At 53.4% G+C, this 11,915-nt stretch overlaps 1 protein-coding gene and 1 long non-coding RNA gene across 2 annotated transcripts in view, besides 3 other annotated features; one reads left to right on the forward strand and one right to left on the reverse strand.

The window, feature by feature from the left end:
• The window catches only part of SLC6A17 (solute carrier family 6 member 17), a 51,709-nt gene extending 47,581 nt beyond the window's left edge, over positions 1 to 4,128 (forward strand). Inside the window, exon 12 of the mRNA NM_001010898.4 lies at positions 2 to 4,128. Coding sequence (NP_001010898.1) covers positions 2 to 370 — 369 coding nt within the window. The 3' untranslated portion in view covers positions 371 to 4,128. The remainder of the gene's footprint in view (position 1) is intronic.
• Positions 4,972 to 5,021: an enhancer, noted in NCBI's record as "active region_1462". NCBI's record gives its function as "activates an Ori minimal core promoter by ATAC-STARR-seq in GM12878 lymphoblastoid cells {active_cell/tissue: GM12878}" and the evidence as "EXISTENCE:reporter gene assay evidence [ECO:0000049][PMID:35858748]".
• Positions 9,838 to 9,897: a silencer, noted in NCBI's record as "silent region_1169". NCBI's record gives its function as "represses an Ori minimal core promoter by ATAC-STARR-seq in GM12878 lymphoblastoid cells {active_cell/tissue: GM12878}" and the evidence as "EXISTENCE:reporter gene assay evidence [ECO:0000049][PMID:35858748]".
• Positions 9,908 to 9,957: a silencer, noted in NCBI's record as "silent region_1170". NCBI's record gives its function as "represses an Ori minimal core promoter by ATAC-STARR-seq in GM12878 lymphoblastoid cells {active_cell/tissue: GM12878}" and the evidence as "EXISTENCE:reporter gene assay evidence [ECO:0000049][PMID:35858748]".
• KCNC4-DT (KCNC4 divergent transcript) lies at positions 10,376 to 11,913 on the reverse strand. Its single transcript, NR_046546.1, has 2 exons — positions 11,537 to 11,913; positions 10,376 to 11,130 (listed from the first exon to the last, which is right to left on the reverse strand). It is a non-coding gene; the product is annotated as a KCNC4 divergent transcript (long non-coding RNA).

The raw sequence follows: 11,915 nt of genomic DNA on the forward strand, positions 1-11,915 counted from the left end.
GGCTGCCGAGCGCTACCTGTATTTCCCCAACTGGGCCATGGCACTCCTGATCACCCTCATCGTCGTGGCGACGCTGCCCATCCCTGTGGTGTTCGTCCTGCGGCACTTCCACCTGCTCTCTGATGGCTCCAACACCCTCTCCGTGTCCTACAAGAAGGGCCGCATGATGAAGGACATCTCCAACCTGGAGGAGAACGATGAGACCCGCTTCATCCTCAGCAAGGTGCCCAGTGAGGCACCTTCCCCCATGCCCACTCACCGTTCCTATCTGGGGCCCGGCAGCACATCACCCCTGGAGACCAGCGGTAACCCCAATGGACGCTATGGGAGCGGCTACCTGCTGGCCAGCACCCCTGAGTCGGAGCTGTGACCACTGCCCAAGCCCTGCCCGCCTCTCCCCCCACGCTCAACCTGCCCACTTGTCCAGGCCTGGCCTCTTTCTTGAGGTGGCCACCAGGCCCAGGCCAGGCCCTTTGCCCAAGAAGAGAGGGTCTGCCCTGCCTCACTCCCCTCTTCAGTCCCAGTAGACTCTGCTCCCTAGCCCTGAGCAGGAGGCTGGGAGCAGCTCTGTTTCCTAATTCAGGACCCCACTCATCTAGCCCTCCAAGAGCCTCCGCCAAATTGTAGCCATGTAATTGGAACAACCCATAAGGCCTGCTTCCCAGTCCATGGGAGATTCCAAGTGGCCACTGCAGGAGTCACTCACCTCCCTCTCTCCCTGTAACTTGCCACCTGCAGTTCTTAGGGCTGTGGGGTCAGATGGTGGTGGTGAGAGGCCTTGGGGCTGGGGAAGGAGAGTGGACTTTGGCTCACTCTGCCATGAGAACAGGACACCATCCTGCCCAGCCCAGACGGGGTTGCTCCTGGTCCAAGAGGCTACCTGCTCCAAGGCGGAGGGTGGGAGCAGGTGTGCCAGGGCTCAGGGCTCAGACTTGGGAGGGCCTAGGCAGAAGCCCCAAGTTCTGTTTTCTGAGGTATGTGCTGCCCTTGGCTTCAGCATGAGCCTTGGTAGCAGAAGGTGAGGAACCTCCTCTGCCCTGGTCCCTGGGTGGAATCTTCCCATGTCCTTGGCCCTGCCTGGGGTGTGTGGTGTGTGCTCCTGCATCTTGTCTGGGAGTGCAGTGACCGGGACCAGAACCTTCCCCACCTCAATTAGGGCTTAGCCATCTCCCTGTCCCCAGCACCCCTCCCCAGCCCACAGTGGTGGCCTCTGCCTCTTTCCTGGAGAGAGAAGGACAGTGCACGGAGAGGTTTCCAGAGCACAAATTGTTGGTTCCTAGCACAAATTAGATGGTTTGGAGCACAATGGTGAAGCACACTCCCCTCCCTCCTCACCTGGGGTCCAATGTTCTGTCTAGTGGCAGCTTTTCCCCTGGAACAGGGGTCCCTGGAGTTCACAGGCTTATCCCCAGGAAGCCTCACTCCTGGGGAAAGACAGATAATTTCACTGCCCCTTTGAGCCACCACTCACTCTCCTTATTACACAAGCACAGCCGCCCAGTGTGCACATCATGTGCAGACACCTTGGAAACCTTTCCCAAGCCTTCCTGGCCCACAGTGGCCAGTGCCATAGGCAGTGCTGTGGACAGTAGAGGCTGCCAAAGGCAAGGGCTGGTCTTCAGGATGGAGGCCAGCCTGTGCAGAAGGCTGCAGCTGACAACAGCGACCCCACCTGCCATTACCTTCAGGGCCTCCTCTGGAAGAGAACCCATTCTCAGAGTGCAGCCAGGGAGGAACCTGACCCAAGAGTAAATGTCTGCAGAGAGATGGATGGATGGATGGATAGATGGATGGATGGGTTGGGGAGTGGGGGTGGATGGATGGATAGATGGATGGATGGATGGATGGATGGGTTGGGGGGTGGGGGTGGATGGATAGATGGATGGATGGATGGACGGATGGGGTGGGGGAAGGAAGGAAAGGAGGGAGAAAGGAGGGAATACTGGCTCCATCTTTGAGAGCTCTGGTGGGCAGGGCAGAAACAGGCCACAGTGCTCAACCCGGACACCCTCACGAAGGGTCGCAAGTCACTCTTGTGGCTCAGATTGCTCTTAGGACCTGGAGGGACAGACCAGAATCAGGGTCCCCTCCTTTACCCCTGAGTTCCTTACTGTTCCCCCAAGCCTGGGAGCAGTCTATCCCCCAACCCTGCCATCTCCCTTACTCATCCCTCTTCCACAGCTTCCCCTTTCTAGCCCCCTCTGCCCTACCTGTCTTTCCTGAGTGTTTGAGGGGAGAGAGAGACCCACATCTCCCCAAAGAGATGAGCTTTTGGGGCACAACATCCCACCGCAGTCCCCCTCACCCGACAACACCTCCTACCTGGCCCCTTGCCAAATCCCAAGCAGAATTAGCAACAGGAAAAGCAGAGCCCCAGGAGAGACACTCTACTATATATACTCTTCTATATATTCTGTTTCTATTGTATATTCACTCTGTACATGTGGGTGTAAATGCTGTTAAATGACAAACCCAATATTATACTGTGGCTGGTGGACTATTTTCATCCTCAGTGCTGTACAGATCTATTTTCATTGTATATTTGATATATTTTTAATTTTGTAGCGTGTGGCTGGGCCAGGCCCCAGCGGGAGGGGCTGAGCTGGGGCTGTGTGCTTGCTAGGTGTGGGCGCGCTAGTGCTCGTTGTAGCCTTTTGCTGTGTCTTCGCTGTGTGTTAGACGTAGGGCCTAGAGCTCGGGGTGTGTGTGTGCGTGCTGTGTGTATGGTGTGCACATACGTGAGTGTGGGTGTGTGTAGCGTGCTGATCTGTGACTCCCAGTGTTCACCACCTTCCTGAAGACCACGCTCCCTCCCCCTGCCTCCTCCTCCTCCTCTTGGCTCTATTGGGAGCCTCAGGGCCGGCAGGGTGCTTCGGGAGCCCCCTGCTACGGGGAAAGGCATGTGTTTCTTGCTGGTGACTCATTGCCTTCACACCACTGGGTTTGCCAGAAACAGGGAAGGAGGGCGTTAAGGGAAAAAAAAAATCCTCAAATTTATTTACCAGTCAGCTTCTTGCTGTTCCCAGTAGAATCGCTAGCTCTTCTCCAGAGGAAAAGTACTAGGATTCTTAAGATGGCGAGACCCCAAGAGGGATCTCATAGCACTGCTGCATTTGCCGTTGACGCAGTCCTGACAGTGTTTGAAAAGGGCCGCCTGCCCCCTCCCCACTGTGCTTTTGATGCCTTTGGAGTCAAAGGCAGGTGGGGTCACCTGATGAGCTAAGATCCAGCCCCAGAATCCTGGAGGAGCAGGAGGTAGCAGGAGAGGACCAGGTCCCCAAGTCCCTTCACAGGGTCCCCACCCCCACTGGCTTTGGTGCTGTCCACACAGTGCCCACCAGAAGGCAGAGGGAACTCCAGGGCAGGGATGTGCCTGAAAGAGTCAACAGTCCCCTGATCCCCTACCTCTGCCTGCCCTCCAGCCCCATCACCAGCTTCTTGCTCAGGGAGACTTCCGCCCTCCTCACTGAGGCAACATGAAGCCCGAGGCCCAGATGGGGGCTGAACAGGTAGGGCACATCAGTTAATGCCAGTGAGGTCAGCTTCTGCCCTCCAGCAATACATGTGCAGGGGTTGCTGCTTTCCCAGTGCCAGGAGAACCCCCGCTCCGAGTCAGCCTGTGTGGGTCATGAGGCTGGGGCCCAGGAGACACGGTCCCAGGCACTGCACAGGCCTGCAGTATTACCAGGCGGAGGGGCTGCTTTTCTGCCCTTCCTCACCCCCACGCCCCACCCCACTCCCCCAGAGTACTCCCCACTGTGAAAAGAGCTGGAAACTAAACTGGTTAGAATGAACCTGGCTCCCTGAGCATCCCTGGATCCTTCAAATAGGCCCTGAGATGTGAGGTCTGCTGCTTCACTGGGGCCCGATGACTTTGGCTGGGGGAGGGGGCCTAGGGCCTCTTCTCATTGAAAGCTCTGCTTTATACAGACCCAAGCATACACACCAGGCCGTCACTTTGGGTTCTGGCATAAGTTCAGAACAATTCAAGTCCATGTGTCCCATGGCTGGTCAGAGCCCTGGGTCAAAACCACTCAGCCCAGGGGAGGGGATGAGGCATTGTCACCCTAGACCCCTCTTCCTCTCTCCCCCACCATAGTGTGCAATAAAGTGTCTGTTCTTACCAAACCCTTCTTGCCTTTCTCACCTGCTCTTGCAATGAGGGAGAGGGAAGGGTGGCCAAGGATCCTGCGGGAAGCTTTGGGGTGAAAAGCTTGGACTGGGATGGGTGGACAGGACTGCTGAGGGGGGTTGTGGGTGCTGGCTGGCTGAGGAGCAGCGCGGGGAGTGTGCACAGGTTCATATCTGTATTTTCCTATGAATTGTCCTAGGTATTAACAATGCACACACTTGTAGAGGGCCCTATTGGGGTCCAGCGATTCCACATGTCTAATTTCCTGTCATCTTTGCAACCGTTTCCTAAGGGAGACCCTTTGCTGGCTACATTTTTCCAGGTGAAACTGCATCTGAAATTAGGATGGTATTTGGTGGTCTCTTACAGGACCCTGTAGGGGAAACTCCTGTCCCACCTGACTACCAGGAAAAGCTATACTTGTCAGCCTGGCAAGGGTGGGGTGTGTGGAGGCCCACCTCAGGGAAGGACAGGGGTGGGAAGGTGCCAGTGTTGAGAGGTCTGACAGCAAGGACCAGGACTCTCTTGGGTGCTGGGTTGGGGGGGGGGTGGGCTCCCCTGGAACAGGCATATTCTAAAGTTCTGCCCCTCTCTTCAAGATAGCTATCCCTCTTGCAAACTTCAGTAGAAGGTAAAGACGAACTAGGGGATCTGACATCACCTCTGTTCTAACATTCCAGCCCCAAGTATTCATTTATTAAACACCCACTGAATACTCAGCACTGTGAAGAACGGACTGTGCTGGTGGCTGGGAAGCTCTTCTTCCTGCCTCACCCTCTAGGAGCACCGACATTGAAAGAAACAAGAAGTCTGGCTCCTGGAGGAGGCCTCACCCCCACCCCACCCAGCTCCAGGCTGGAATGATGCTGCTTGCACTCAGACGCACACAGCCAAGGACCCTGAAGGAACCTGCCATTTTCTTCTCTTGCCATAGAAAGTGTTGTTCCAGGAATAGCCACCAGATGGCAGGAAAACCTTTCTCGCCAGATCATAGTCTGCTTGCCTTCCTCTCTGTCATTTATTCCTTTGTGGGTTAGTTTATTTGTTGAACAAACATTTATTACGTACCCACCCTGGACAGGCTCCATGCCAGCTATAGATGAATAAAGATAAAATCAGCCCCTGCTGTCCTGAGTTTGGCAGAGGGAGGGGACCGGCCCTATAACTCCACATCTCCCCATGTATCTTTCAAACCAGGAAATGGCCTGGTGCTGAAAGTCACTCCTTGTCAAGTATTCAGTCTTTTGGTTGAAGGTAATGTTTTTGGTTGAGATGCAAGCCCTCTTGCCAGGAGGGGCACACAGATCCACCAAGATGCAGCATAACAAGGGCTTTGGTTCCAAGGAGCTCTAGAGTCATACTTCTCAAGTTCAAGTTCAAATGCCACCCAGCTTCCTGCTTCCTGGGAGGCCTTGAGCGAGTCATTTAATCGCTCTGAGCTTAAATGTCCTAGTCTGTAAAACAGACATAATAAATAGATTCAATGAGATAACACATGTTGGTCCAGTTATCTATTGCTGTGTTCCAAGTTACTCCAAGTCTGAGCGGCTTAAAACAACCATTCTATCTCGCAGTTTTCTGAGTAAGGAATTCAGGCAGGACTCGTCTGAGCAACTCTTCTGGTGGCAACCAAGGTCACTCAGTGATATTCAACTAGCAGCGAACTAGTCTGGAGGGTCCAAGGCAGCTGCCCTCACATTCACTCAAATGCCGGGCACTCCAGTGAGAATGGCTGGAAGACTGAGTTCAGCTGGGCCTGCCGGCCAGAGTGAGCACCTACAACTGCCTCTCCAGCATGGCTACTTGGCCAGACTTCTGACTGAAGGGCTTAGGGTCCCCAGAGAGACCATTTCAAGAGACAGGAGGTGGAAGCTGCCAGGTTTTTAAGGCCTGGGGCTGGAAAATGGCACAGTACCTCTACCATCTTCTGTGGGTCACAGCATCTGCCCAAATAAAGGGGAGGGCACACAGAAGCCCCCCTTGTTGATGGGGAGTGGGGAGAGTCTGGCTGCCCATGTAATGGGCTGATTCTAGAGTGTTAGGGATCTTTGTCATCAGTCACCTGCACATGCATGGAAGCCTTCTCCTGAGGGGATGTCAGCTTAGAGACACAGAACTGGGACACACAGCAGGTCATTTCTGGTGGGGAGGTGAGTGGTTAAGTTTGGGCCCTGGGTGGAGGGAGCAGTCAGAGGAGGATGAGAAGGGCATGCAGGAGGACAGGTGAGGCCACTGCTTCTGCCTCAGGTTTGCCCCAGGGCAGGTGGCATGAGTGGTTTGAATCATGGGTCTGTCGCCAACCATACCACCTTGGGGAAGCCACTTTAACCCTGGAATCTCCATTTTCTGATCTGTAAAAGGAGGACGACAATAAAATCTCTTCCTTAGAGATGGTATGAGGGAAAAATGAACTTCATCAGTAACATCTACTGGAATACAGTATCGACTTCTTTCCATATGGGGATACAATAGGTGCTCATTAAATATTTCCTTCCTTCCTTCTTGCGATCCTGGGCAAGGCCATGGGGCCTACTTCATTCTGGGGGCCCCATCACCCATGCAATGAGCCATCTCCTAAAGCTATTCACAAAGGACAGTTTCAGCCTAAAATCCAGAGAAGCCAAGGAAGGAAGGCAGAAAAGGAACTCTCTCCAGGAAAGGGAGTACCAGAGTGTGGGGGTCTCACTGATCCTGTACATTATCATGTTCACCCCAGCAGTCACCACCAGACAGCTCCAGTCATAGGGACTTGGGCCAAGGCTAAAGTATTCCACAGACCACAAGGCTATTGTGGGGTTTTGTTTTTGTTTTCTTTGTTGTTGGTTGGCCCCAAATTCTTTTTAATACTTCTCCCATCAAAAGTGGAGTCTATGCTCCTCCTCTTGAATCTGGGTGAGCAAATGCTTCCTGTGACCAACAGGGTATAGTAGAAGTGATGCTATGTGACTTCCAAGGCTAGATTAGGAAAGGCCGTGCCACTTCCACCTGGTGTTCTAGGGATACTCATTCTAGAGGCAGCCAGCTGCCATGTAAGACAGCCAACCACCCTGAGACTGCCATGCTAGGGAGGCGATATGTTTGCAGATGCTTAGGTTGACAGCTTCAGCTGAGCTTCCAGCCAACAGCCAGTGTCAACTGCCAGCCACATGAACACAGCATACTGAACGTTTAGCCCAGCTGAGCTTCAGATGTTTGCAGCCCGCTGACATCTGATTGTAGCTGCATAAGAGACCCTAAGCAAGAACTGTTCAACTGAGCCCTTCCTTATTTCCTGACCCATAAAATAATAAACAAAATAAAATGGCTGTTGGGTTTATATCACTACATACTAGGGGTAATTTGTTTCATAACAATAGTAACCAGAATATGAACCTTAGTGATTATCTGGTCAAACCTCCTTGTACAACAATGGGGGAAACGGAGGCCCAAAGAGGAAAAGACCAGACTTCCCACAACCAAGCAAGGGGAAGATCGGGGCCAATGCCTGGGTTTCTTGACTCCCAATCTAGTGCACTCTCTGCCACACAGCAAGAAACTGACAGGGAGGACTCCTCCCCCGCCACCCCCCGCCTCATTAATTCCATGCATCAAGCAAGCATGAATCAGGTATTTTGAGTGCCTGGGATTGTGCTGAGCACTGGGAATATACAAAGGACCAGGCAAGAGTCCCTGGCTCGCAGAGGCAGTCACAATCTGACTTGGGCATCTCCCTTCCTGGCACACTCACTGGTGCCAGGCACGCTGCTGCATTCTTTAATTACATCATCTTAGGTGGGAAGAAACCTTGAGATGGGAGAAGACTATGCCTGTCATTCAACCACAAACCCTTACAAAGATTGATCCATGCCAGGCACAGTCCTGGCTGCAGAGCATAAAGACTCAGTGGGGATCTGCTCTCTGTCCCTGGGTCTGAGCTGCCTGGGTTCTGGGTCCCTCCATTCTGCCCAGGGCTGACCCAAGCAGGGAAGAATCCCTGGACTTCAGGAGCACCCAAGAGGAACCTGAGTTTGGCCTGTCTCTCCAGACACCTGCTTCCCCTTTCCCCAGGATATTGCTGGAGGGGACTGGGCCCATCAGGACTAATTAACTCCTCTAATGGAATGAACCAGTTTTTCCTGGAACTTAGCCCAGGTGGGAGCAATCTCTACTTTTCTAGATGGAGAAATGCTAAGTGTCAAGAGGTCTTGCCAGCCGGACCCTGGGCTAGCGTGCATGTGGCAGGCGCGGTGGCGGGAGTGTGCTGTCTGGATGCAGGCTGAGTTCCCAGCCCAGGAGCCTTAAACAAGGAGGCCTCTAGGGTCCACTCAGCTGGTGGCCCCCGTATCGTTCTCTGTCCTTGGCCCAACACCAGCCCTAGCTCCGTCTCTCAGAGTTCGCTGCTGCTGCTTAGGCCTGACATCCCTAAGCGGGGGGAAGGTGTCCATGAGCTAACACTCAGGTCCCCTCCAACCCTATGACTCCAGGTCCATAGTGTATGAGGCCCTGAGCCCTGCCCAGGCCCGAGCTTCTGATCTCTTCTCTTTAAGAGCTGGGCCTTCAAAGGCCACCTTTGAGCCCCAGATACAACTTCACTGGGATTACCACAGCAACCCAACCCTGCTTTCAGTCCTGAGGCAGAGCCATTCTACTGATCTTCACAAGACCTGAATTACTAGGGCTAGGTTCTCCCCAGAGCCCCTCCCCCACCAACCCCCCTCCCCCCAAAGAAGGCTCTCACATTTGATTTGGAGCCTGCAAGTCTCTGCAGGCTGCTTGGGGTTGGGGGAGGCAGGATGAAGTGAGCTGAGACGCAGACAGGAGGCTGCCAGCCTGCTCTTGCCTTCCCTTCTCTTGTTCCCCCATGAGCGGGGAGGCCCTATCACCCTCTAATGAGTCTGATAAAGCAATTCAATTTTCCAGGCTGGGAGAGAGTGAGGCATGCTGGGAAAGGATGCTGGCTCCTTGGCCTGGACCTGAAGGAGGGTCAGTCCCTGGCAGGAGCTAGAATACCAAAAAGGGAAAGTGTGAGCACCAATGGATAGAACCTTGCCTTGGCCTGGAGCCCCTCACCACAAACAGGTTTCAAAGAAGGAAGATGGAGAGGAGATTGGATGGCTCCAGTCATCCTAAAGAGGCTGAGCCCATACAAAGCTCCCAGTGGGGAAAGGGGAAGGGTAAACGGCTTTGATTTCAGGCTTTCAGCTTCCTACGGACAGGGTCAGCGTCGGCACTCAGAGGGTGAGGACCTTATTATGCGGGTGGAGGGGGGGCCTGGAAAGGGTGCAGGTGCTTGACAGCCTCCATCGGTGCCCCTTTAGAATCTCCCATGGCCCTCTCTTCCTATTCTTTCACCACACCCTCACCCCTGATGAGGGAAACCCGCTGTGGCTGACACCTTCTGTGAACTGGCTTTCAGACAGGTGCTCTTCCCTGACAGCCTGAAGAAGCCAGGGCACTAAGGAGAGGACAAAAGAGAAAAGGTGAAAATGAGGGAAAGAAGCTTGGGGAACTAGGAATTTCCAATAGTGGCTGCTTTGTGGTCTTGCTTAAGCCTGTCAGGTATCAAGGTCTTGGAGGAATGAAGAAGGGAGGGAGTAGGCAGAGTCCCAATGGCAGAGTTAGGCTAGAAGATGTACCTGAGGTCCTGGAATCAACAGGAAGCCCAGAATCAGCTGCCACCCCATCTGCCCACATCACAGCCCCCAGAGCTCAGGGCGAGGTCTGGAGCCAGGATGTTCTAGCACCACCAGAGGGCAGCACCCTCACATCCATGGTAGGCTGTGTCACAGTAGCCTGGGCAGGGGGCTCTCCTATCCTTCCCCGGCTCTGTGTTTTGAGGGAACACCAAGACCTCACACAAAGAAATGATGGGGACAAGTCCCATAGTGCTAACTGCAGCATATCGACTCCCTCAGAGAGGTACACGTAACAGGTGAGCCCAGAGTTCTAGAATAAACCTTCAGCAAGGGTGAGGCATTCTCTGGAGGCCTCAGGACTGAGGCTGAGCTCCCCTCTCCCGAGCTGGTCAGTGCACAGAGCTGGGAGTCCTGGCCCCATGCACCTTTACCCAGCTGCCTCTCTCAGGCTGGGCCCTCTGTTTTTGTCAGCTCTTCCTAGGTTCCTATGCCTGTGTCCCAACTTTCTGATCTTCCTCCCTTCCCTCTTGGCCTCCTTTTTCCCTGGCAGCTTTCTCCCTTTACCCATCTCCCCAGGTGCTCATCACTATCCACAAGCACCGCAGAGTGGAAGCACCAGTTGGGCAGATTTACTAGGATGAGTGGCTGTTTTATTCACTGATGTATTTCCAGTACCCGGAACTGCTTCTGGCATATCGTAGGTATTCAATAAGTGTTCATTGAGTTAATAAGTCAATCAGGGGTGGGATACTATGGGTTTTGTCCCCTTGCCTACTACACTCCCTTTGTTACAATTACTGAGCTCAGTCATCCTGATGAACGGAAAGCAGGGGAGAGACCCCAAGGGACTTTGCCAGGACACGGACCAGATAGGACTTGAAAGTTATTCATTACATTAATATTCTGTGGTTCTTTCTTCCTCACTCCAGTTTCTGGCCTGTCCCGGGTCTTCTCTTCCCAGTCACACTTGGGATATTTCTTTTCACTGCAGCAAACTCAAAGACAGCTAAACTCTGAAATACAAACATCAGTTTCGAGGAGCAGGGACTGGGCACAAAGGGGGTGCCAGTAAATGTGTGTTTCTGATTAACTCACCTCCCCTGCGTGTCAGTACAGATCATCAAAGATCATTGTCATTTTGGTTTTCTGGCCTCATTAATAATGAGACTTTTGCTTGTAAAAATCCCTTGCATTGGCACTGAGCTTTTAACCTTTCCTGAGACACACATAGGCCCTTGTCTTGTTTTTCTCAGTTGAGCTAGGTACTGCCTGATCTGGAACTGGGAAGGTGCACAGGTGTCCAGGGCAGGTGTGTCATTCACCTTTCATTTCTGCCTCAAGATCTCTTTACATCATCCAGACAGGCATGGAGGCTGCCTGAAGCTGTAAAAAAGAAAAAAAAACCCAATGGGGATTAATATGAAGATGTAAAATAGGTTCTGGACTTAACAAAAACAAATGAATCTGGAAATTGCTCTTGGGATAGGGCCAGTAAAGTCCTGTTGGTGCCTACGTTTTGGGTATGGCAGCTTCTCAATCACTTAGCAAACAGGTTCTCAGAGGCAGGCACTGTGGGAGCTATCAAGATGAAAAAGCACAATGCCGCCTGCAGGAGCTCAGGGTTAGGGAGGGGAGAGGAGACATATACACAGGCAAAGTCAAATTGTAATGGGTAGAATAAGAGTAGAAACAGGAAGGGGTCATGAGGCAGGACACGGGCATTTCCTATGTGGACCCCAGAGCAATGACGAGCAAAGGCTTTAACTAATGACTTTTCAGGGCCACCCACCCACTCCACATCCATAAAACATTTCGCGATGAACACAGCCAGAGCTACGGTTTCCTTCCATCCGGCACAAGAAGCGCTTCTCTGCCCAAGGCCACCCCGTCCTCCATTCCATCGCGGGGACTTTGGTGGCTGGGACAGAGGCGGAGAGCATCAAGACCATGGGTGTCTTGGGCTACGTTGGGCCTCCGAGGCGCAGGATGCGGGGCGGGGTGGTCAGAAGGCCCCAACACGGTCCCTGGGAAAGGAGAGGGCAGCCTGATCCTCGCGACAGCGTCTCTACCCTCTTTCTTCCTTGGCCTTCCGTCAGCCGCAGTGAAACGGCAACAGTGCGACCAGCTTGGCGGGGAGGGGGCGAGGGACGAAGCAAGAAGAGCCGGGC

This window comes from Homo sapiens, chromosome 1, assembly GCF_000001405.40.
Source record: "Homo sapiens chromosome 1, GRCh38.p14 Primary Assembly".
Lineage (NCBI taxonomy): Eukaryota > Metazoa > Chordata > Mammalia > Primates > Hominidae > Homo > Homo sapiens.